Genomic DNA, 24,147 nt, shown 5'->3' on the forward strand with positions numbered 1-24,147 from the left:
ATGGTATTAAAGATAGAAAGCACAATGTATATTTTTTAAGAGTTTTGGTTCTTTTCCCAGGAGAAGAAAACACTGTGGGTTGGTATTTTCAAGCACATTCAAGGGTTTTACAAATCAGCCCCAGTTCCAGTCACACACAATCTAAGACCACCCAAGATAACATTTCAAGAAGAGATTTTTCACAAGACTATAAAATTTCAGTGCTGGATGAAATGTCAAAGAGCATGTCCAGTGTTTTCACTTTCCAGGTGAGGAAATCGAGGCCTCAGACTTTTCCAAAGTCACTCAACTAGATATCAGCAGAGCACTCGTCTTTGACATGTGGGCCTTGGACTTAAGACCAACATTCATATTCTCTAGCCATTGAACCAGTCTTCCTTCAACTGGTCTCCATTCACTCTGATCCATCCAAATCAATTCTGCCAAGATACTCATAACACAAAAGAAAGCATATTATTTCCATGTTCACATTTCTGTCATTCCCATTGTCTACAGAATGAAATCCAAACTCCTTTAGCATAGCTTTGACAAGCTTTCGTGATCTGGCTTCAAGCTCTCTGTTCAGTCATTTCCCACCTCTCTCTCTCGTCACTTCTTACTGACAACCAGCCTGTTCTCCATTCTAGATTCACTACAACCTGCTCCCTGCCCCGGTTGTGTCTGTACCACCTCCTCTCAGTTTTAAAGTCCTCCCATATTTGAAATATATCTAATCTTTTGTGCTTTGTGTCTCTTTTTCTTATGCTTCTGTAACAGAACTTGCTAAACAGGCATAGACTGCCTGGATTAAATCTCAATTCCACCATTCCAGTTGTGTGACCCTTAGTAAATCATGTAACTTACGTGAGCCTTGGTTTTTTCATCTGTAGAATGGGACTAATAATATTACCCACTTAATGGGGCTATTGTTGGTTTAAAGGAGATAAAGTTCCAAGCACATAGTAAGCATTCAAATGTTAGTTGCTGATATTGTCATTAGTAAGTGCTTTTGTATAACTATATAAACTCTTGAATGCAAAGAGTATGGCTTCCTCATTGTGTACTCACTAGAAACCTGGCACAGTGCTTTACACACTGAATTATGAAAATTAAAGTTGGGGCTAGGTGATAAAGAAAAATTATGAAACCATATTTCCTGGAGATTTGAAAGACAGAGTCATCAATCTGCCAGGTTTGTTTCAGTGAACTTCCTCCTGAAGGCAGAGGCTTGCCTAAATCAGCCTTTATAAGGATGGTTACTTTATTAATAAGTATTTGGCTATATAATATATCAGTTCCATTGATCTCCTTAGAATTTCCCCATGGACTCCAGATCCTTTACTACTGAACTCACAGGGCTGTAACACTGTTACTGTACAGAGAGGACCAGGACGATGCCAGCACCCCGTTTATCCTGAGTGAACTCTCCGGAGGCCTCTTCAAGCTTGTGGGTTCTCTGCTGTCTTGAAGCCATCCATCCATTTGATAGGTTTTGCAAAGACTTGGTCCTGCCAAGATGGTTTTAATCATTTCTGCTAAAAGGAATGGACTCGAGGATTTGATCTCATTTTAGATGCAGTTGTCCTCACTTGGCCATTTTACAGCACTTTAGTAAATATGGCCAGTGTATTTGGTCACTATTAAATCAATCCCCATTCATTATCTGTCAGGGCAACTCAGTGAACTAAATACTATGTTCTGACCTCTGGCACTCTTTCTCATGTTGTTTAAATATTTAATATTGTCTAAGGCAATTCAAGTATTTTCTTAAATAAAAAATATGAAAACTCACTCTTTTCCATTCCTTTGTTTTCTATGACAAATGCAAAGAAGTTGAAGAACCAAAATCCTTTCCATTTTCCATAATAAATTGCTCTTTAAAAACTGACATATCTAAGAAGGCTTTTGACTACCTCATCTTCTAAATGTTTTACTAAGATAGGTAGTAAGCAGCAAAATGAACTTATTTGGTGCAGTCCCACCCTTACATGCACCACTCCAATACTTTACCTAATTTCTGCCTTCAGGGTTATCAGTAACTTTTTCCTGCCTTATGTGCTATTGTGGAGAAAGAAATTATGACCTTGAGCCGGGACACAAATTTTCTTTTTACAATAACATGTATCTGTAGATTTTTTTAAAAAACACAAAAATAATATAGGAAACAAAAAGTTCCCTCCTCCACAATCCACCTTCCAGAGATAACCATTGTTAACAGTTTATTGGGTATTTTAACAGACATTTTACTGATCAGTTTAACAAAAGCAAGATATTATCTATACCTGCCACTGCTTTTTTTTTTTGAGACAGGGTCTTGCTCTGTCACCCAGACTGGAGTAAGTGCAATGGCACAATCCTCAGCCTCAAATTCCTGGGCTCAAGCGATTCACCCACCTCAGCCTCCCAAGTAGCTGGGACTACAGGTGCATGCCACCACGGCCTGCTAATTAAAAAAAAAATTTTTTTTTATAGAGATGGGGGTCTCAGTATGTTGACCAGGGTCGTCTCCCAGTCTCCTCCTGCCTTGGCCTCCCAAAGTGCTGGGAGCCACCATGCATGCCCTGTGGCTTTCTTTTTTGACTTAATTTGTGATGTAGATTTTTCTGTGTCAGTAAATATAGAGCTTCCTCATTTTAAATGCATAGTATTCCATTTGATACATATCAAATATGTGTCTTCCCATTTTGATGTACATGAGGTTGCTTCCAGATTTTTGTTATTGCAGATAATGCTGCTGTGAACTTAGGCCTTGGATAACAAAAACTTCTCAAATGTCATAATAACCTGACATTCTAACTGAAGCGTATCAACTATTAAAGGAATTCCTATTTTCAAAAGCACTGTGGTTAAATAATAGTGGCATTCTCTACGTTTAGAGAAGGAAACTAACAGTAAATTCATGTGTTATGTGCTTTCCCATATGTCATCTTAATCCTCTACCTGTGAAGTACAGGGTGGTGTTTTATAGACTACAAAACCAAGGATCAAAAGGCTGAACACCTTACTCCAGGTTCTGTAACTAGCAACTGGTGAATCTGGGTTTCACAGCCAGGCTCCCTGACTTCAGATCTAGGACTCCTGCTGTCCTGCATTGCCAGTGTGGCTGATCTAAAGGGAATAAAAATAACTTGTCCCGCTTGCATGATTCCTTGGCTCAAACATGAGCAGCTAAATCTATGGTTTGCTTCTTCTGGATGTGGAATGCAAACAACCATAAAAGGTGGTCCCTATTTAGAAACACTTTCCACTTTGTTGAGAGAAAAAAAAAAAAAAGTAAGAAAAACCTCCCACTTATTAAGTTGTTTGTGTCAAATCTTCCATCATTCCCCTCTCATTGTTGAGCTTTCTCTTTGTAATCATTGTTCACTGGTTTTTGGGTTTGGTTTGGTTTTTGGCTGCTCACTGCAGCCTCGACCTCCTGGGCCACCATCTTCCCACCTCAGCTTCCCAAGTAGCTGGGACCACAGGCACGCACCACCATTTCTGGCTAATTTTAAAATTTTTTGTAGAGATGGGGTCTCACTTTGTTGCCCAGACTGGTCCTGAACTCCTGGCCTCAAGCAGTCCTCCAGCCTCGACCTCCAAAGTGCTGGGATTACAGGCATGAGCCACCATGCCCCAGCCTGTTGGTATTTTATAGTGCCGACTTCCTTGATGGATGAAGCTAGATGAGGGCATTGATTTTACTGGGGCCCTTTCAGGATTCCAGCACCCAGGGAAATTTTCCCAAACCAGCTGCTCCTCACCCCTACTCCCAAAGCACTTAAAACTCAACTGGATCCCTTCTACTGGACTGGTAGGAATTTACTGGTTATTGGAGTACTCTAAGTTGTGCAGAGGTTCGTGGTTCAAACATTTGGAAGTCCCTCACCCCACCCCACCCCCCGCCACCACCCACTAGTTGATCATCTGTCTACATGTTACTGCTGAGACATCAGTTGTCCCAGGCTAAATGAGGCAGTAGTTTTACTGTGTTCGTCTCACACTTGGGGAATGACAAACTTTGGTGAGCTAGGAACTCCTGTGTCTGGACTCTTCCCTGAATGCACCAAGGACCCACTTTCTCTTAGATATTGCCATCTTACCAAAGTATTGCCACCAAACATGGAACAAGTTTCTACTCCCTCTGATTTTTAGATCTCTGATTTTTTTTTTAATCTGTCTGGGAGAATATCATCTCCCCTTTGGCTTTCCTGAGAGGCATGTTTGCCTAATACCATGGTCCCTTTGGTTTCAAAAAAAAAGGCTCTTTCTTTTTGGAAAATCGTTCCTTTCCTACCTTCGGGCCATGTGGTTTCATGGGGCCAATTTCACGTTCTGGCTTCAGAGCTCGACAGAAGCCAGACTTGGACAGAGTCATGGTGACAGATTCAGAAATTAGCATGGCATGTGACTAGCCTGGGACTTTGCTGGAATAGAGTTGCTAAGTTGTAAGGAAAAGTTTGGTACTGCTGGCAGCCACACCTGAAGAGCCTCCTGATCAAGCCATCCTAGAAGAAAGGAAGCTGAGAAAGGAAGACAGTTCTGTTAACATCACTTTAGCTTTTGGATCAAGTCATCCCTGAAGCCAGAACTATCTCTGGATTCTTGTGTTATTTAAGCAAATAAATTCTTTTTTTTCCTTAAACCAGTTTGAGTTGGGTTTCTATCTCTTTTAACTGAAATAAGCTTTACACTCCCACTTTCCTCATGACATTAAACACATTCCTCACCTCCCCTGCTTTGGCATGTCACTTTAATCTTTTCGTTAGCTTAGGCTTTTACAAAAGACAGAAAAAACAGTTACTTCAGGCTACTGCTTCTCAACACAACCCAAAGCACCTGCTCCTGGTTTGAAATGGGGGAAAGAAAGAAAACAAAACAAATTAATATCTGAAATATATATCCCACCATATTCCTGGATGGGACCACGCTAGAGCTCCTAAATAAAAGACCAGAGATGAGCTGACCCTGATCCATTTCCAAGAGCCTAAGGTAGGAGAAATGTCTGTTGTGCTCTGATGCTTTCCATGGATGCCATCATGATCTGCATCCCGAAGGGAGCCAAGAAAGATGGTACCCACACAGCTTTCCTCTTGATGAGTCATACAGTCTGAAAGCCTTACTCTGCTTTATCCACCTGGCAGAGATCTATTGAGAATGTGTGTTGTGTAGGCTCAAGTACAAGAAAGCAGGAACAAAGAGTTTCCAGTGTTGGACTTTACTTCTATGCACAGTGTTGAAAACCCATGTATGCAGGAAGCAAAGAAAGGTGTGAGGGTGGTAGACGACCTGCTTGGGGCTCCCGTGCCTAAAAAAAAAAAAATGTTGTCAAAATTAGCCAGCCCCTTCCACCCAAAATTTCCATCAAGATGGGCACAAGGACCCTCATCTCTTGTTCACCGAGTAGCCATTGGTTGCTCACAGCCACTTATGACCTTCTTACCTCTTTCTGATCTTCCTCATTTTCTGCCTTATTGGTGCTGGCCACATAACAAATGCTGTGGTCTTATACATGGTGCTCTCAACCCCAGTGACCAGTGGTTGATAAGGAGTTTCTATTTTGAGCACGTTGGTTGTTTCTGACCTGGCCTATAGGCATGGCTGCTGGGGTCAACATCTGAAGGGTGTTCCCTACCATATGATGACTACCACAAGTGGCATATGTTCTTTATTTTTGAGACAGGGTCTTGCTCTGTAGCCCAGGCTGGAGTGCAGTGGTGCGATCATAGCTCGCTGTAGCCTTGAACTCTTGGGCTCAAGCGATCCTCCCACCTCAGCCTTCCAAGTAGCTGGGACTACAAGCACAAGCCACTGTACCTGACTAATTTTTATTTTATTTTATTTTTGTAGAGACAGAGTCTCACTGTGTTGCCCAAGCTGATCTCAAATTCCTGGCCTCAAGCAGTCCTCCCGCCTCAGCCTCCCAAAGTGCTGGGATTACAGACATGAGCCACCACCCAACCTCATGTTCTAACTGATAAAACTTACAAGTTTATAAAACTTATAAAATTCTCAGAAAGTGAAAACTGATTTGAGAAATGACCTGGATATGAAAAACTAAGTACAGATCCTTTAGCGACTTACAAGTTGGTTGACTTTGGTGACATCACTTTGTCTCTCTTGACCACTATAAAAGAAGGGTTTGGAGAGATTCCCAGCTATGGGCCAAGGACTAGTTACATCATAATCACCTGGGGCCATTGTTAAAAAGTCACATTCCCACACCTTTTCACAGTTCTGAATCAATCTCCTGAATGGGAATGTTTTCCTAGCAAACAATCCAGGTGATTCTCATGGGCATCCGGGCTTAGGAACCACTGTGGCAGATGATCTCTTCTGATGCGAAGAGGTCACTGAGCTTGGCTGTGTTAGCCAGGTTTAGGTGGGGCTGGACCGGGTAGGGATAGGGGACTGTCTGACCTCTCCCAGGGACTGTGTTCAGGGAACCCAAGGGAATCTGAGAAGGAAGAGAAAGTTACCACCTTTGACACATGTGGCAGAGTTCTCTGGAACCTCTCCTCTGTTCCTACCACAGGAAGGCCACAGGCACGCACCAGGGCTGTACTGGCCTAAACCATAGTTCTGTGCTGACTGAGAGGTTCTGAAATTAGAAAAGAGGTCTAAATCCTGCTTCCAGGTTTTTGTGAGGTGGAGAAAAGCAGAGTGACCTGGGAGAAGTGGTTATCAACAACACAGCTGGTGACTTCTTCCCTGGGGTGAGGAAGGTTTTCCCTTTCCCTGCCCCGAGCTGCAGTGGTGCAGTCTGTTACCTTGGAGACCAGCTAACACATTCCCGCAGGGCAAGCTTCGCTGCTGAGTTGCTTGGAGGAGCTTGGAGAAACCAGAAGTGAGATCCAGGAGAAGTAAGGCCCTGGAGTGCCAGGAGCCCTTCTCCCAAAGATGGAGAAATAAATGAAGAAATACAGGTGAGGGTGAGCATCACAAGGGTTGACAGGGGTGGTGAGAGGGTGTCGGGGAGGCCAGATACTAAGCTCTGGACTGAGTGAGAAGATCGAGGGAGCTTGGGGTGTGAAGTGTCCACTCCCTACATGCCGAGCATTGGGCTAAATGCTGGGGTGCCAGTAGACAAGGAAGTCATGGAGCCGGTCTAGGAGACAGGCCATGACAACTCCATATGACCAAGTGAAGGGGCAGCGACAGGAGGACTTCCACAGGAGGAGTGGTTTCCTCCCTGGGGACAGCAAATGGGATTCAGGAAAGACTCCTATTATTATTATTATTATTTTCACCCAATAATCAAGGTTCCCTCTCTCCCTTGGACCAAAATGCCATCTGCCATGGCCTGGTTGTTCTTTTCCTCTCCTGCAATCACCTCCCAGGGTAATTCAGCTCACCTTTGCCTAAACTCTGGACCTGCTCTGAGTGCATTTATTCAACAAATGTTTTTTGAGCAGCTACTGTGTTCTAAACTCTATTTTATGCAAAAATGTCCTAGCTGTGAACATTACTAAGTCCCGGCCCAAATGGATCTACTTCTAGTATGTTTATGTAGGAGGGGTGCGCGGGGGTTCAGACAGTAAATAACTAAATATATAGAAAATTTAAAACAAGTAGATAAGCAAATATATAGAATGTATTTACTGTTAAGTAAATAAGTGAATATATATAGTGAAACATGCTGTGGGGAAAGACAAAGCCAGGTGGAGGAGGTGCTGTTTGAGTTAAGGTACTCACAGAAGACCTCTCTAATAAGATTTCATTTGAGCAAAGGCCTGAGGGAAAGGGCTGCGTCCTGTTCATGTCTATCTCCCCAGCACCCGTTCTCTCTGGCACGCAGTGAGTGCTCTATAAATGTTCATGAAACACATGATTGTTTTTGTGTCATATGCTGAAGTGCTTGAAGATGCAGCCCATATTTTATGGTATTCTACATTTGTATAGTACTTCATATTTCACAAAGCAGTTCTACTTTCTCAATTTCATTTGATCCTCTTGATAACAGCATTGAAGTAGGCAGGTCAGTTACTGTTATCCCCATTCCATTCTAAAGATGAAGAAACCAAAGGTTCAGCACTTTTTTGTTTGTTCGTTTGTTTGAGACAGAGTCTCACTCCAACACCCAGGCTGGAGTGCAGCGATGCGATCACAGCTCACCGCAGCCTCAAACTCCTGGGCTCAAGTGACCTGCCCACCCCATCCTCCCTAGTAGCTGGGACTACAGGTGCGCACTGCCATGCCCAGCTAATTTTTGTATTTTTTTTTTTTTTATATAGAGACGGGGTCTCGTTATGTTGGCTAGGCTACTCTCAAACTCCTGGCTCAAGCAATCTCCCTGCCTCAGCCTCCCAATGTGCTGGGATTGCAGGCATGAGCCATTGCACCCGGCCCCGTGCTTTTTCTGGAGCACTATTTTGTTTTGTTTATTTTATGCAGTTCAACCCCTTCTCCATCAGCCTGCACCAGTCACCCCAGAATCTAGCCATGCAGTCCTCTGAATTCATTAAGAGCTGTTAATCACTGGCTGGAAAGAGGGAAGTGAGACACTATGGGGCGGCCAGTGTTCATGAGGCATTTCTATTTCAACAGTCTCTGCCATTAGAGTCTCCCAGGAAAGCTTGCTGAAGTAAAGCCAGTTTTTTTTTTTTTTTTAAAGCATTGCCACATTATCCTGGTGCTTCCCAGAAAACAAAGCATCCTCTGAATAAAAGATTAAAGACTTGAAAGAGAAAAGCAAGTTGCCAAACCATTATTAGGCTGTTTAATTTAATGATTTCACAAGAACACACACTCTAAGTTGCAACTTTATTCAGAGTCTCTCACTTGCTGTGTCTTAGCTGGTATTTTTTTGGTTGCAAATAACAGAAAGCTAAAGGAGCTAGCTGAAGCAAAAAAAAAAGGTAGAGAATTCTAAGAAACAGGGTATCTCATGGAACCCAAGAACAGAAAGGTCTCACACGTGCCTGGGATATATAATTAGAAATTCAAGAACCAAGGCAGGTTGGGCGTGGTGGCTCAACACCTGTAATCCCAGCACTTTGGGAGGCCAAGGCAAGTGGATCACCTGAGGTCAAGAGTTTGAGACCGGCCTGGCCAACATGGTGAAACCCCGTCTCTACAAAAAATACAAAAATTAGCTGGGCATGGTGGTGGGCGCCTCTTAATCCCAGCTATGTGGGAGGCTAAGGCAGGAGAATCACTTGAACCTGGGAGGTGGAGATTGCAGTGAGCCAAGATCATGCCACTGCACTCCAGCCTGGGTGACAAGAGCAAGACTCCGTCTCAAAAAAAAAAAAAAAAAACCAAGGGAGTCTTTCAACCTCCTGCCCCTTCACCTTCCCTTCTCAAAATATTTATCGAGTGTCTGCCAGTCCCTGCTCTTACATAACTTACAGTGTAAGGGGACAGACACACAAATTTTAAAAAATCCCTCTAATGAATGTATCGTTCCAAATTAAGATACCTGCCCTAAAAGAGCATGGTTCTATGAAAGTCTGTATAAAACAAAGGAAACTGAAATATAATGGGATGCTGGAGATTTCCTGAAGGAAGTGATATTCAAGCTGAAATGTCAAGATGATTAGGGTAGGGGAGAAGAAGAACGTTCCAGAGCAAAGACAGCAGCACATGAAAAGTCCCTGTGGTTAAAGGAACTATAGAGAATTCCAGAAACTGGAAAGGGAGGCCCTTGTGGAACACAGAGGAGAGCAGTGGTGAAGTGGGAAATCTAGAGGGGTAGGTGGGAGCAGCCAGACCTTGAGAGTCCTCAGATGCCATCTGAAGGATCTCAGTCTTCATCCTAGAAATAGAGAAGGCTTTGATCAGTTTTAAGCAGGAGGGAGAAAAGGGGGTGTAACATTGGATTTGGGTGTGGATTTTTGTTTATTTTTTAGAAACAGAATCTCCCTCTATTGCCCAGGATTGAGTGCAGTGGCATGATCATAGCTCACTGCAGCCTTGAACTCCTGGGCTCAAGCGATCCTCCTGCCTCAGCCTCCCAAGTAGATGGGACTACAGGCACATACCACCACACCTGGCTAATTTATCTTTATTATGTTTATAGAGATGGGGTCTCGCTGGTTTGCCAAGGCTGGTCTTGAACTCCTGGCCTCAAGTGACCTCCTGCCTCAGCCTGCCTCCCAAAGTGCTGGGATTATAGGTGTGAGCTACCATGCCTGGCCCCTTGATTACTTTCTATTATCCTTTTAGTTCTTTCCACACTTTCCACAATTTGTAATTATTTTATTTAGTTTTTTAATATCAGTCTCCCCCTCTAGAATATAAGCGCTGGGAGGACAAGGACAAAGTCTATCTTAGTGGTTTACAACTAGGGACAATTCTGCTGTCCATGAGACATTAAGCAATGTCTAGAGACATTTCTGGTTGTCACATTGGGAAAAAGTGAGGAGGGATGCTACTGATATCTAATAGGTAGAGGCCAGGATGCTGCTAAACATCCTGCAATGCATAGGACGGCCCCCACAGCAAAGAATGATCCGGTCCAAGAGTCAAAGTGTTGAAGTTGAGAAAGCTTTATCTTGTTCACCATTGTATCCTCAGCACCAAGCACAATGCCTGATACCTGGCAGGTGTTCAATAAGTATTTACTGAATGAATTAATTAAAGAAGAGTTGGCTGAGCACAGTGGCTCACTCTTATAATCCCATGACTTAGGGAGGCTGAGGAGGATCTCTTGAGGCCAGGAGTTCGAGGCTGCCATAAGTTATGTTAGCACCACATTACTTCAGCTTTGGTGACAGAGCAAGACCTTGTCAATAAAATTTTAAAAATGGCCGGGCGTGGTGACTCACATCTCTAATCCCAGCCTAGGTGGGAGGATCACTTGAGCCCTAGAGTTCGAGACCATCCAAAGCAACATAGTGAGACCCCGTCTCTACAGTAAACAGAAAGATTAGCTGGGCATAGTGGCTTGTGCCTGTAGTCCCAGCTACTTGGGAGATTGAGGTGGGAGGATTGCTTGAGCCTGGGAGGTCAAGGCTACAGTGAGCCATGATTGGGCCACTGTACTCCAGCCTGGGCAACTAAGTGAGACCCTATCTCAAAAAAAAATTAAACATGTAGAAAAAGAAGCATTGTGCTGAATATAGATACCCCCCAAAACTATTGTCTGTATGCCACATTTATCCTGTTTTCTGGTATTCTTTTCTTCTTTAGGAAAATAAGCATTGGGTGTTTTGCAATGGCTACACAAACTAGTCATGTCTTCCATGGTCAAGAAAATATGTTTCTGGAAAACCATTGGTAAGCATAGTTCTCTGATTTTTTTTTTTTTTTTTTTTGAGGCAGATTCTCGCACTGTCTCCCAGGCTGGAGTGCAGTGGCACAATCTAGGCTCACTGCAAGCTCTGCCCTCCGGGTTCATGCCATTCCCCTGCCTCAGCCTCCCGAGTAGCTGGGACTACAGGTGCCCACCATCATACCCAGCTGATTTTGTGTATTTTTAGTAGAGACAGGGTTTCACCGTGTTAACCAGGATGGTCTCGATCCCCTGACCTCATGATCCGCCCGTCTCGGCCTCCCAAAGTGCTGGGATTACAAGCGTGAGCCACCGTGCCTGGGCTAGTTCTCTGATTTTGCAAACGAAAACAGCAACAGCATTTTGCTCATGGGAGCTGAGGGTGAGACTGGGTAAATGGTCATTGAATCTTCTTATAGCCACCTGAGGGCTTTAGTTATCTAAATAATAAAATATCTCATGGAACTGGAGTCCACATTTTATCAGGACTCTGCAGGAATCCTTCTCAGTTACTGCACAGAAAAATGTTTCTAGAATCCTTGTAGGGACTAGGGCAAAGAGAGGAGGCACTGGGGGTATCAAACCTATGCCCAGTGCTGGGGCATTGATCAAATTACTTTATGTTTTGTAGCATTAGGAGAAACACTGGCAGAGATTCAAAGAAGCCACTAAAGCAGAAGAATATGAATGGACTTGGGCAAAATTCGGACAATGGATTATTGGTTACACATGTTAACCAGACACAGGACTTACTGGTAAAGACCATGGCACTTTAACTGGGTCGTGATACTACAAATCATTCAGAGAATGCACAGTGTGTTAAATTCTGGGGATTTCTTCCTTCTCATAGGATTCTAGGACTGAAAAAGGAGTAATTAAGCATTTATCTCTAATCCTCTGCCTTCAGAAATGACTGAAGAATCTCTATACTGTTTATATAGAAATTGTTTAGCCTATTTGGCCATGTCACTAAATATTCAGGAGCATGTGAAGACTCTGATCATGTTATCAAGGCCTGAAGTCTTAAGCATTTGATTCTAAAATTCCCCTTCCTGAGATTTGCTTTGCTTTTGAGATTCCCTGAAATCGAGATTCAGAAATCCATTTCAGGAAGTGCTGTTGGACAAATGGGGTATGATAGGAGAATAAACCTCTGACCAGACTACGATTTTAGGCTGACCTTCAATGTGCCTTCCCAAGAGGGTGAGTGGATTGTCTAGAACTCAGAATTCATTCTACCAGGGACACAGTGGCAATCAGTGGTTGCCATGTTCAAGCAAGGCTAGTGCACAACCATGTACCTAACCCACACTAGAGTTTAAATATGATACCTTTGAAATGATAGTCAAAAACAATACAGGTATAATGCTGGCAATTAAACAATCAGAAAAATACTCATGATTTACTTAGGTTCTGGCACTTACAGGAAAGCAAGCTTAATTAAAGGAGACGAGGAAAGGTTGATAGAGTTTTGAGATTCTGAAGAAGTCTTGTAATGGGTTCAGATGTTGATGACATGCATCTTTCCTCTAATTTTATATGAAAATGCATGACTTCCCAGGTGTAGACAGGATCATTCTTATATTTATCAGCCACAGCTGGGGCCTCCTTTGCCTTGCAGATGAACCTGAAGGAAAGAGGGAAAGGATTGCTCCAACACGAAGATCTTACCATTCTCTATGCAAATGAACTAGTAGAGTTACATAATTAGCATGGCCTAAAGTCAAAATCCATAATGTGTTTAATAGTGTATCTTCAAGTATGAATAATACAAAATCTGTGTCCTAAAACATGACATCATTTGAAAAGCAACACAGATGGAAGAAAGGTGAATTATTAAGTCCACCATGCTCACCAGGCACGGTCGTTCACATCTGTAATCTCAGCACTTTGGGAGGCCTAGATGAGAGGATCGCTTGAGTCCCGAAGTTTGAGGCCAGCCTGGGCAACATGGTGAAACCCTGTTTCCACAAAAAAAAAAAAAAAAAAAAAAAAAAATACACAAATTAGTGAGGTGTGGTGGCACGTGCCTATAGTCCCAGCTAATTGGGAGGTCTAGGAAGGAGGATCACTTGAGCCTGGGAAGCTGAGGCTGCAGTAAGCTGAGATTGTGGCACTGCACTCCAGCATGGGCAATAAAATGAGACCCTGTCTCAAAAGAAAAAAAAAAAAGTACCATGCTCGGTGTTTCCAACCAGGGGGAGGGTTGAGTCTGAAAGGTGAGAAGAGTGACATCTAGTGTCCATGTGATAGAGAGCTGTATTTCCCTAGATATGCGACAGGGACCTATGATTTTAGGTGCCTTTCAAGGGCAGGACATTTGTTAGCACAGAATCACATAATGAGAAAGTAATCTTGCCCGTCAGTCCTCTCACTCCTTCATGGAGGTGGTCACAGTTTGGTGCTAGTTTAGAGGGACAACATAGTGCCATGGTTAGAAGCATGACTTGAGCTTTACAGCCTGGGTTTGAATTCCACATCTGCCACTTTCTAGCTGGATGACCTTGGACTGATTACCTAAATTATCTGTACCTCAGTTCCCTGGTCAGCAAGATGGGGTTATCATAATGGAACCCACTTTGTAAAATTAAATGAGTTAACGTACGGAAAGTGCTTAACATGTAATAAGTGCTATCTAAGTATTTGCAGTAATTATGAGAGTGTTTTTCACACTTCTTCAACACTTGCTAATTTCCCTTTGAGACAGACAGCCCAGCAGGCCTCAGGCACAGAACTTAAGTCAAGGTCGCTTGAGCCCAGAACTTCGAAGCTGCAGTGAGCTATGATCACACCGCTGCACTCCAGCCTGGGTGACAGAGTGAGGCCCTGTCTCTAACACGGACAAACCAGGGGGCTGGGTACAGCAGCCCATGCCTGTAATCCCAGCACTTTGGGAGGCCAAGGCTGGTGGATCACTTGAGGTCAGGAGTTTGAGACCAGCCTGGCCAAAATGCCAAAACCCTGTCTCTACTAAAAATACAAAAATTAGCCAAGCGTGGTGGTGCATGCCTGTAATCCCAGCTACTCGGGAGGCAGAGGCAGGAGAATCACTTGAACCTGGGAGGCAGAGGTTGCAGTGAGCCAAGATCATTCCACTGCACTCTAGCCTTGGTGACAAGAGCGAAACTCCGTCTCAAAAAAAAAAAAAGATAGGGTCAGTCTGAGTTGGCGCCCGTTGGGTATCTGTGTGAAGGGAACCTCTTCCTTCCCTCTCTTTCCACTTCACGGTTTGACTCTGGCTTTTGTCTTGCAGAGGCTGCAGGGGAGTGAGACCCAGTCTTCAGATTGGGAGGACTCTGAAGACTGGCTTTCGGCTCACAGTTTAAAATGTCAGAAACTCACCTTGGCTGACCTGATAAGCCAGGGCACAGAAGTGCTGTAAGTCTGAAGCTGTTCCCCGCACCCCCCACAGCTGCAGTGACACATGCAACCCCCTGGGCCCGAGAGATCCCCTCATAAGGCTTTGCTTCTTCAGGGAGGAGGGCACCAATGTCGTGCAGAAAATATGTTTCTCCACCCAGATCATCCGCCATTTTGAGTCAAAGCTTTCTGAGTAAGTATGTTTCTCACTGTCCTCCCAACACCACAGAACTCAAGAATTATGTCATTTCAGTCCGGGCATGGTGGCTTATACCTGTAATCCCAGTACTTTGGGAGGCCGAGGCAGGTGGATCACTTGAGGTCAAGAGTTTGAAACCAGGCTGGCCAACATGGTGAAATCCTGTCTCTACTAAAAATATTTTTTTAAAAAATTAGCCAGTCCTGGTGGTGCATGCCTGTATCCCAGCTACCCTGTAGTCTGAGGCAGGAGAATCGCTTGAACTCGGGAGGTGGAGGTTCCAGTGAGCTAAGAACACACCATTGCACTCCAGCCTGGGCAACAAGAGCATAACTCTGTCTCAAAAAAAAAAAAAAGAAAGGAAAAAGAAAAAGAAAGAATTATGTCATTTCAGTAGCCTGGAAGTAACTTTGTTCAAACAGCAATCTCTGTGGGACCTTGGGCAATAGAGTGGGACCCTGTCTCAAAAAAAAAAAAAAAAAAAAGGAAAAACTACCACTCAGGGAGATGAGCATGTCTCTTCCCACTTCTAGCCCCAATTTCCCCTTTTCTCAAATAGAAAGGTTGGACCAGATCAGTGTCTCTCAGCCTTTTCAAATCCATAGTCTAGGGCCAGGCATGGTGGTCCATGCCTATAATCCTAGCGCTTTGAGAGACCAAGGTGGGAGGATCACTTGAGCCCAGAAGTTCGAGGCTGCAGTGAGCTATGATCACACCACTGCACTCTAGCCTGGGCAACAAAATAAGACCCTATCTCTAAAAAAATATAAAATGAAATCCATAGTCCCTTGGATGACACAGCTTCATCTGGTGTTTAATGGTTAAGAGTAATGACTTTCAATGTCAAATTGATTGCGTTCATAACTTTGCAAATATATGCCAAAAACATGCATGCATCCCCACTCCTAAACCAGATTTTGATAGCACATGTGTATTAGTCCATTTTCATGCTGCTGATAAAGACATACCCGAGACTGGGCAATTTACAGAAGAAAGAGGTTTAATGGACTCACAGTTCCACATGGCTGGGGAGGCCTCACATTCATGGCAGAAGATGAAGGAAGAGCAAAGGGACATCTTACAAGGCAGCCAGGAAAGAGAGAATGAGAATCAAGAGAAAGGGGTTTCCCCTTATAAAACCATCACTCTCAAGCCAGTTAACCAAAAGTCAATTGCTGAATGGCCATTCATGGAATGACCAGTTGCTCAAATTTCTCAAAACCATTTAACTGTAGAATTTATAGTAACTTTTATTAGGTTGGAAGCTTAAACAGGTTTTAAAGAATTCTGCAATGTCTTGGTTTATCAGTTTTAATTGTGAATCCAGTATTTTAAGGAATGTTCAAGTCTATTTAGCTAACTGGTCATTTGGCAAATTGATTTTCAGAGGACTGGCTTTCAGTAAATTGACTTTTAGCAAATTGACTTGGATAGAATCCTGTTGTTACCTTCATGTTGGAGATGGTGAAACTGGGGCTCAGAAAGGTTACCACACCTGTCCAAGGTCACACAGCTAGTAGATGGCAGAGCTGTATCTCAAACACAAACATATTTTATTATAAAGCTCATCTTCAGCTGGGCACAAGTGGCTCACACCTGTAATCACTTTGGGAGGTCAAGGCAGGAGGATCGCTTGAGTTCAGGAGTTCAAGACCAGCCTGGGAAAAATGATGAAACCCCAACTCTACAAAAAATATAAAAATTAGCCAGGTGTGGTGGTGTGCATCTATAGTTCCAGCTACTTAAAGGCTGAGGTGAGAGGATCACCTGAGCCAAGGGAGGTTGAAGCTGCAGTGAGCCATGATCGTACCACTGCACTCCAGCCTGGGCAACAGAGTGAGACCCTGTCTCAAATAAAAAGAAGAAGAAGATAAAAATAAAGCTCATCTTCTTAGCTCTATTCATAACTCATGTATCCCTTATGACTCTATCTACCACCCACTGCCCCATGATCTCATTTCCAAAGACCTTTTTTGTCCCTCTCTAGGCCCCCAAATCTCACCTGCCCCCAGTAAGAACAAGTCAATTAAATTAAAGTGACCTAGTCCTTACCTTGTGCATATGATATATGCTAGTCTTCAACCAGTCATTGCAAGCCAGGCATGCAATAAGGCAAGTTCAAGAAGGTCCCCCAGCTACTTTTCAGAAACTAGGTTTTTTGTTAATCAATCCAGTAGAAACGATTGCTTAACTGCCTCTGTTGTGCCTTTATGATCAGTTTCCAGGAGACTAGGAACAATTCCTTCTGAGAAGACACAGATTTGAGCAAGTGCAAGGGTGGTCTTCCAACTTTCTCGTAAGAACACCCTCCCCCACCCTCCACAGACCTGCCCTCACCGGGCAGAGTGAGCACAGAGTGAGTGAGCTATGTGGAGAAAGGAGACGAGGTTACATGAGCAGGTTGAAGTCTGGGAGGGCCTGATTCCACCCCTTGATCCACCAAACCGTTGTCATTTATCCTGTGCACTGTGTCACCAATAGAGCAGCACCTATACACTCGATCCCTTTCACAATCTCCTTATACCTAGTGCCCTGGCAAACAAGTATCTTCAGTTTTGTCTTTCCTCGATTGTGCCCAGGCTTGAGTGCAGTGGAACAATCATAACTCCATGCAGCCTTGAACTCCTGGGCTCAAGTGATCCTCCCACCTCAGCCTCCTGAGTAGCTGGGACTACAGGCATGCACCACCATACCCAGCAAATTTTTTTATTTTTTGTAGAGACAGGGTTTCACTAGGTTGCTTAAGCTGGTCTTGAACTCCTGGCCTCAAGTGATCCTCCCACGTCAGGCTCCTGAGTAGCCACGACTACAGGCGTGCACTACAGTGCACCTAAAAGGTTCACCACCTTCTTCCAAGAACCTATGCACATTAAAAAAAAAAACAATTATTCATACCTGCCTTTTGTGTATGTAAGTGGCTGTTGCTCAGTGATGACGCTGGCCTTGGGTGATGAGTCTTTCTGATGTCTTGACAGCACTATTGAAGTCTATCAAGAGAGAATTCAGTGGCTCACAGAAAACAGCAAGAAGGTAACGGGCATAGATTTCATTCTTTGCCCCCTTTCACTCATTCCATTTGTATTTGTTAGAACCCTTTCAGTTGCAAATGTAGACCTCCAATATAAATTGCTTAAGCTAAAAAAAGGCATTTACTAACCTAAGTAAATGAAAACCCCAGCCACAGCTGGATCCAGGTGCTCAGATGATGTCACCTCTATGCCTGTGGGCTCTGCTTTCCTGAGTTGGTTTTATTCTCAGGACATCTCTCTTCAGGCATAGGAAGGTGGTGATCAGCAGCTCCAGTAAAAAGGAACTTCACTTCCTGTTCCCTGCACAACTTCCAAATCCTGGGACTGACTCTCATTGACCAATTTACACCAATCATCATAGCCAAGGAGATGAAATATACTATCACTATTTGACTAGGCCTGGAACTAGTGCTGACTTCTGGGGCAAAAATAAAATAAAATAAAAGACAGGGGGGAAGGGGAAAGAGACTGGATTAGCCCCCCAGCCCTCATGGACTGAAAAAGAGAGACAGATGGTTGCATGTGGAAGGCCAGAGCACTGTTACCAGAAGGGGGAATGGGTGCTGGGCAGGTGAGAATGCAGATGTGCACTGGGCATTTGACTTTAGACCCGCAATGAGATTTAGAAGACTAAGGCTGATCATCTGGATATCACTTTTCTTAAAAGTTTGATTAAGGGCTGGGCATGGTGGCTCAGGCCTGTAATCCCAGCACATTGAGAGGCCTAGGTAGGTGGATCACCTGAGGTTGGGAGTTCAAGAGCAGCCTGGCCAACATGGTGAAACCTCATCTCTACTAAAAATACAAAAAATTACCTGGGCGTGGTCGTGCAAGCCTGCAATCCCAGCTATGCAGGAGGCTGAGGCAGGAAAATCGCTTGAACTCAGGAGGTGGAGTTTGCAGTGAGCCGAGATCACGCCATTGCACTCTAGCCTGGGAGACACAGTGAGACTCCCTCTCAAAACAAACAAACGAAAAGAAAACCCACAAAAGTTTGATTAAGGGCTAGGCATAGTGGTGCACACCTGTAGTCCCAGCTACTTGAGAGGCTGAGGCAGAAGGATTTCTTGAGCCCAGGAGCCTCAAGGCTGCAGTGAGCTATGATTTTGCCACTGCACTCCAGCCTGGGCAACAGAGCAAGACTTGTCTTTTAAAAAAAAAAAATTTTTTTTAATTAAATGTTTTTCTCAGAACCCAAGGGTAGAAGAGTGACCATGGGCAAATGAACACTTTGATTTGCTTTCTTGTTTGTTTTAGCTTAATTGCCATCAACTGGCACTTTTCTGGCTTCCCGTTTGCTTCCACCTTAGGCACAATCTTCAGCTCTTGCCTTAAACCCTGGGAAAAGCAGATGCTAAAAGTCATGCTCCCTACTCCCAGTCCCCACCTCTACCCAGATGCAGATGCTAAAAGTCATGCTCCCTACTCCCAATCCCCACCTCTACCCAAGACTAGTGGGTAACAACATAGTGCTAAGCCTGCCTGTCCCGCCAATTCCAGGCTGTGGTCTTCACCTCAGATCCAGAACCTCCTTCACTTGCTTGGACGAGTTGAGTCAACAGATGCTTGTCTGCAGCTATAGCTGGACCCCTCTGGTTGCCCATGGTAACAGGCAGAGAGACCCCACGGGAATGAAATCCTCCCATACTCCATAGGCATCCACGTAGGGCATGCTGCTCTCACCCCCCGACCTCCACTACCCCATCCTCGCACCTTTGTCAAAGTGGGCGGGGATTGATAGCCCCTTCATCCTGCCACCCCTTTCTGACGGAGCTACAGAGAAACCATGGAAGAGCCCAGGGAAACGATCACCTGTAAATCAGCTTACCAGGTCCCTGGGTGTTGAGGCAGGCAGCCTGAGGTGATGGCCAGATAATCGCTGGTCCCTGTTCCTGTTCTGCTCTGTCACTAAGGCCCTAGAAAGTGGCCTCGCTTCTCTGGATCTGTGTCTGCAGAGGATAAAAGGAGAAGTTATAAACTAGTGGCATGCAGGCCAAATCTGGCCCACAGCCATTCTGTTTAGGCTCCCTAATTTTAACTATTTTTCAAATTAGTTGCCAAGATTTTTTAAATCCTGGTATTTCACTTTTATGTCTGCTATCAGACTTCTCTTGAAAAATGAGAATATCTGGTATTACCAGGCTCCAATTGCCTCTTATGTACTTGTCCAGTTATTTCTATGGAATAAATGTCTAGAACTTCAATGGCTAGGTTTAGGGAATGAATGTTTTCAATTCCAAAAGCTGTAAAGCCCTCATGGCAGCTTGTTTTTAATTTAAAAAAATAGAACTGGCTCTAGATTTCAACTTCTTGCCTCCAGATTGGCAATACCCTAGAATATTTGGGTCATGAATTCAACAAACATGTATTGAGTGATTATTGTATATCAGGCACTGTTCTAGGATTGAGACTACCAACATGACCAGTACTTGCTGAAGGAATGGTTCGCTGTCGGGGGAAAAAACATGACCAATACTAAGGTCCTGCCTTCATGGAGCTTACGTGCTGTAAAAAGAAACAAAGCTGAGTAAGGGAACAGAGGGTGGAACAGGACTATTTAAATGGAATGGTTGAGGCCGGGCGTGGTGGTGCACACCTGTAATCCCAGCACTTTGGGAGGCCGAGGCAGATGGATCACTTGAGGTCAGTAGTTTGAGACCAGCCTGGCCAAAATGCTGAAACCCCGTCTCTACTAAAAACACAAAAATTAGCCAGGCGTGGTGATGGGCGCCTGTAATCCCAGCTACTAGAGAGGCTGAAGCAGAAGAATTGCTTGAACCCAGGAGGCAGAGGTTGCAGTGAGCCGAGATCGTGCCACTGCACTCCAGTCTGGGAGACAGAGTGAGACTCCCTCTCAAAAATAAAATAAAAAATAAATAAATGGAATGGTTGAAGATACTCACTCTGAAGAGGAGGCATTTGAACAGGCACCTAAAGAAAGTGTGGGGGTAAGCCCTACCAATATCTTGGGGAGAATGTTCCAAGCAGAGGAGACAGCAAGTCCAAAAGTCTTGAGGCAGGAACGAGCTTGGTATGTTCCAGAAGCAGCACATGGGCCAGTGCAGCAAGCACAGAGTGAGCTATGTGGAGAAAGGAGATGAGCTTAGATGAGCAGGTTGAAGTCCGGGAGGGCCTGATTCCAAAGCTGAGGGCTTTAATAAAGCAGGGGAGTGACCTGATCCAACAAGTTTCAAAAGAATCACGCTGGCTGCTGCATAACTTGACTGCACAGGGGGTAAAAGTGGAAACAGGACAACCGCTCTGGGCGAGAACGATGGAGGCTTGGACTCAAGCTCTAGGGTCGACAGAATGAGATATGGTAGATTCAATGCATGGCTGGAAGGTAGGACCAGCAGAACTTGCTGATGGATTGGATAGGTCTGGGGCCAGAGTGCCTGGGCCAGTGTTGAATGGCATTTACTAAGATGGGGAAGGCTGAGGGAGAAACAGTCTTGAAGAAAACTGAGAGGTCTTGTTTTGGACATGTGAGGCCTGAGGGACTTAGCAGACATCCAGACAGAGAAGCGGAGCAGGATGTTGGGTGCACAGGTCTGAAGTTCCAAGAGAAATCTGTTTGAAGATGGACCTCAGATAATCATTTAGCATTCAGATGGTATTCAAAGTCATGACACTCAGATCACTTAGAGAGTGATCAAAGAACAGTGGTTCTCCACCAGGGGTGATTTTGCCCCACGGGAACATTTAGCAATGTCTGGAGACATTTTAGGTTGTCATTGCTGAAGGAGAGGGGTTGTTACCTACATCTAGTTTATCAGCAGCCAGGGATGCTGCTCACCATCCTGAAATGCACAGGACAGCTCCCTACAACAGATAATTATCCAGCCCAAATGTCAATAGTGCCAAATGCCAATAGTGCCAAATGTCAATAGTGCCAAAGTTGGCAAACCCTGGGGTAGATAAAGAAGAGAGTGGCCAGGCACGATGGCTCATGGCTGCAATCTCAGCACTTTGGGAGGCTGAGGCTGAAGGATCTCTTGAGGCCAGGAGTTCAAGACCAGCCTGGGCAATGCAGTAAGACCCTATCTCTACAAAAAATTTTAAAAAAAAATAGCCAGGTGTGGTGGCACACACCTATAGTCCCAGCTACTTAGGAGATTGAGGCAGGAGGATCACTTGAGCCCAGGAGTTCCAGGCTGCAGTGAGCTATGATTGTGCCACTGTGCACATGGAAGCTCTTGTTAAAATAAAGACTCTAATTAGGTAAGCCTGGAGTGGGACCTGAGACTCTGCATTTCTAACAAGCTGGGGGATGGTGATGCTGTCAGCCCATGACCCACACCTTCAGAAGCAAGTTCCTAGGGCACGCCAGTATTGTGACTTTGGAACAAGGAGGAGGGGCTCTCTAGGAAAGGAAATTAAGAAAATATGGCCAGTGAAGAGAGGGGAAAGTGGGAGAATATAGTGTCCTGGAAGACATGTGTACTAAGTGTTTTAATTTGTTAAATTCTTGACACAGTCAAACTGTGCTATATGCTACTCAGAGTTCGGGAAAGTCAAGAATTTGGATTTAACCCTTGGGCTTGGCAAGACAAAGGTCATTGATCACCTTGACATGTGTGGTTTCAGAGGAATAGGAAGGTGAGAACCTAACTTGAATGGGTCCCCGGGAGGTAAGGATGTGTGGCTAAGATGGAGAGCAGAAAAATTAAACAGCAGGAGGAAGAGGTAGCATACTGAGAGATCTATATCTTTTTTAAGATGGGCAATATTATAACCTGTTTGTATGGTGATGGAAATTGTACAATCAATAGGAATGGATGATCCAGGAGAAGGGATGATTACAGAAGCAGAGTTCCTATTTAGCAAGAGAAGATCCAGTAATGCAAGTCAAATGTTAGCCTAGACCATTGCTGGTTGGCCTTAGATGCATTTTAACTGGAAAAAGGTGAAGTATGTAGGGCTATGGGCTGGTAGGTCAGTAGACTCTGCATGGAAAGATTTTTTTTAATTCTCTCCAATTTGTTTTTGTTTTCTCAGCAAAATTGGAGGCAAAATCACTTGCTGGGAGAGTACAGAAAGGGAGTGCTGGAGGTGTGAGAGGAGATGTAAAATACTCTCTGAGAGCAGAAGAGTGAATTCAACAGGAAAATTAGATATCCAGTAAAGTAGGATTTAAGGAAAAACACCGAATGGAACCTACTGCCCCTAGAGAACTATCAATTTCATGTGAATGAAAGTTCCAATCCACAATGCAGCTATAACAAGATGAACATTTATGTGCAGAGTCAAACAGCATTGACAAGTAATACAGACAGTCCTTGACTTAGAATGGTTCAACTTAGGATTTTTCCACTTATGATGGGTTTATCAGGACGTGGCCCCATCATAAGTCAAGGAGTAATAACTGTAGAGTAATACCGTTTAGAAACATAATTAGAAATTTGGATGTGGTGGCACATGGTTGCTTGAGCCCAGGAGTTCGAGATCAACCTGGACAATATAGCAATATGCCATCTCAAAAAGAAGAAACAAGAAACATAATTAGCAACTCAGAGATACCATTGCAGCTGGCGAACCTAACACATCTGTCTTTGATTGATAGAGTAGGCAAAAAATAAATAAGGATATAGAGAAATTAAATCAGATAAGCTAATATAAATAGCCATCAAATTTTATATCTTCAAACAAAGGGTGCTTTTCTATAGTCTCCAGATTTTCTACAATGACCATGTATTACTTCATAAGATTAGACAATAAATATAAGGGGAAAAAACTTATAAAGAAGAGGCTGCCACAAAATAAGAGCAGATCATGCCCAGAGCTGAAGTCATGACATTGGGTTTTGCTTTTCCCTTATAAAATGAGGTTTCCATCTGCTGCTGCTTGTTAGGGGTGAGGAAAGTGTTTGCATCACTGCGTGGCACAGAGCAGCTCAGTGTAGGAGACACACAGACTTGCACTGGCTGTTTCCAAATGCCCTCTTTGGTTTTAGGCATTTGGCCTCATCAAAGGGGCCAGAGTCAGCATCCTCATAGATGTGTCAGCCATCAGCAGTGGCCCTCAGAAAGAAGAGTTCCAAAAGGACCTCATGGTAAGTCTGTCTGGCACAGAGAAACACCTGGAACCACCCACTACCCCCAGCCTTTCCTTCCTGAGCTTGCTGACGAGCTTGTTTATAGCAAATGCAAGATAGGGTGTCTTATAAAGAACAGTTCACACTTAATTAGCACCTGTGGTTAGAGAACTATGTTGAATTCTACAAAACCCAACCACAGAGTCATTTTCAGTTGTAGTGTGAACTTCCAGTATTCTCACCACGACAGTACCTGCCAACTAGTCTTTGACTCAAGAGCTCCCACGTTTCCCTGGAAGGAAGATGTGAAGTCTCCTGCATAGCATAGCACAGGGCTTCTGGCCTTTTC

At 44.1% G+C, this 24,147-nt stretch overlaps 2 protein-coding genes and 1 long non-coding RNA gene across 18 annotated transcripts in view; 2 read left to right on the plus strand and 1 right to left on the minus strand.

Moving 5' to 3' along the window:
- The window catches only part of MOSMO (modulator of smoothened), an 84,542-nt gene extending 77,654 nt beyond the window's left edge, over positions 1–6,888 (plus strand). Inside the window, exon 4 of one of the 3 annotated variants that reach the window (XR_007064906.1) lies at positions 1,293–1,770. Coding sequence is in view for 1 of the 3 variants with exons in the window: in XM_047434583.1 (XP_047290539.1) it covers positions 6,761–6,828 (68 nt within the window). In the remaining 2 variants the exon portion in view is untranslated. Of the gene's footprint in view, positions 1–1,292; positions 1,771–6,760 lie in introns of those variants that run through there. The other 2 variants (XR_007064907.1, XM_047434583.1) reach the window with 2 other exon arrangements.
- LOC105371129 (uncharacterized) lies at positions 31–6,467 on the minus strand. The gene is made up of 4 exons (NR_188624.1): positions 6,444–6,467; positions 4,259–4,484; positions 1,334–1,487; positions 31–430 (listed from the first exon to the last, which is right to left on the minus strand). It is a non-coding gene; the product is annotated as an uncharacterized LOC105371129 (long non-coding RNA).
- VWA3A (von Willebrand factor A domain containing 3A) overlaps positions 6,777–24,147 on the plus strand; it is a 64,424-nt gene continuing 47,053 nt past the window's right edge. For 11 of the 14 annotated variants that reach the window (XR_007064857.1, XR_007064856.1, XR_007064855.1 and 8 more), the window contains exons 1-8: positions 6,777–6,887; positions 11,095–11,181; positions 11,808–11,931; positions 14,430–14,554; positions 14,652–14,729; positions 17,711–17,765; positions 22,763–22,816; positions 23,718–23,816. Coding sequence is in view for 11 of the 14 variants with exons in the window: in XM_011545742.4 (XP_011544044.1) it covers positions 6,874–6,887; positions 11,095–11,181; positions 11,808–11,931; positions 14,430–14,554; positions 14,652–14,729; positions 17,711–17,765; positions 22,763–22,816; positions 23,718–23,816 (636 nt within the window). In the remaining 3 variants the exon portion in view is untranslated. The remainder of the gene's footprint in view (positions 6,888–11,094; positions 11,182–11,807; positions 11,932–14,429; positions 14,555–14,651; positions 14,730–17,710; positions 17,766–22,762; positions 22,817–23,717; positions 23,817–24,147) is intronic. The other 3 variants (XM_047433627.1, XM_047433631.1, NM_173615.5) reach the window with 1 other exon arrangement.

Source organism: Homo sapiens, chromosome 16, assembly GCF_000001405.40.
Source record: "Homo sapiens chromosome 16, GRCh38.p14 Primary Assembly".
NCBI lineage: Eukaryota > Metazoa > Chordata > Mammalia > Primates > Hominidae > Homo > Homo sapiens.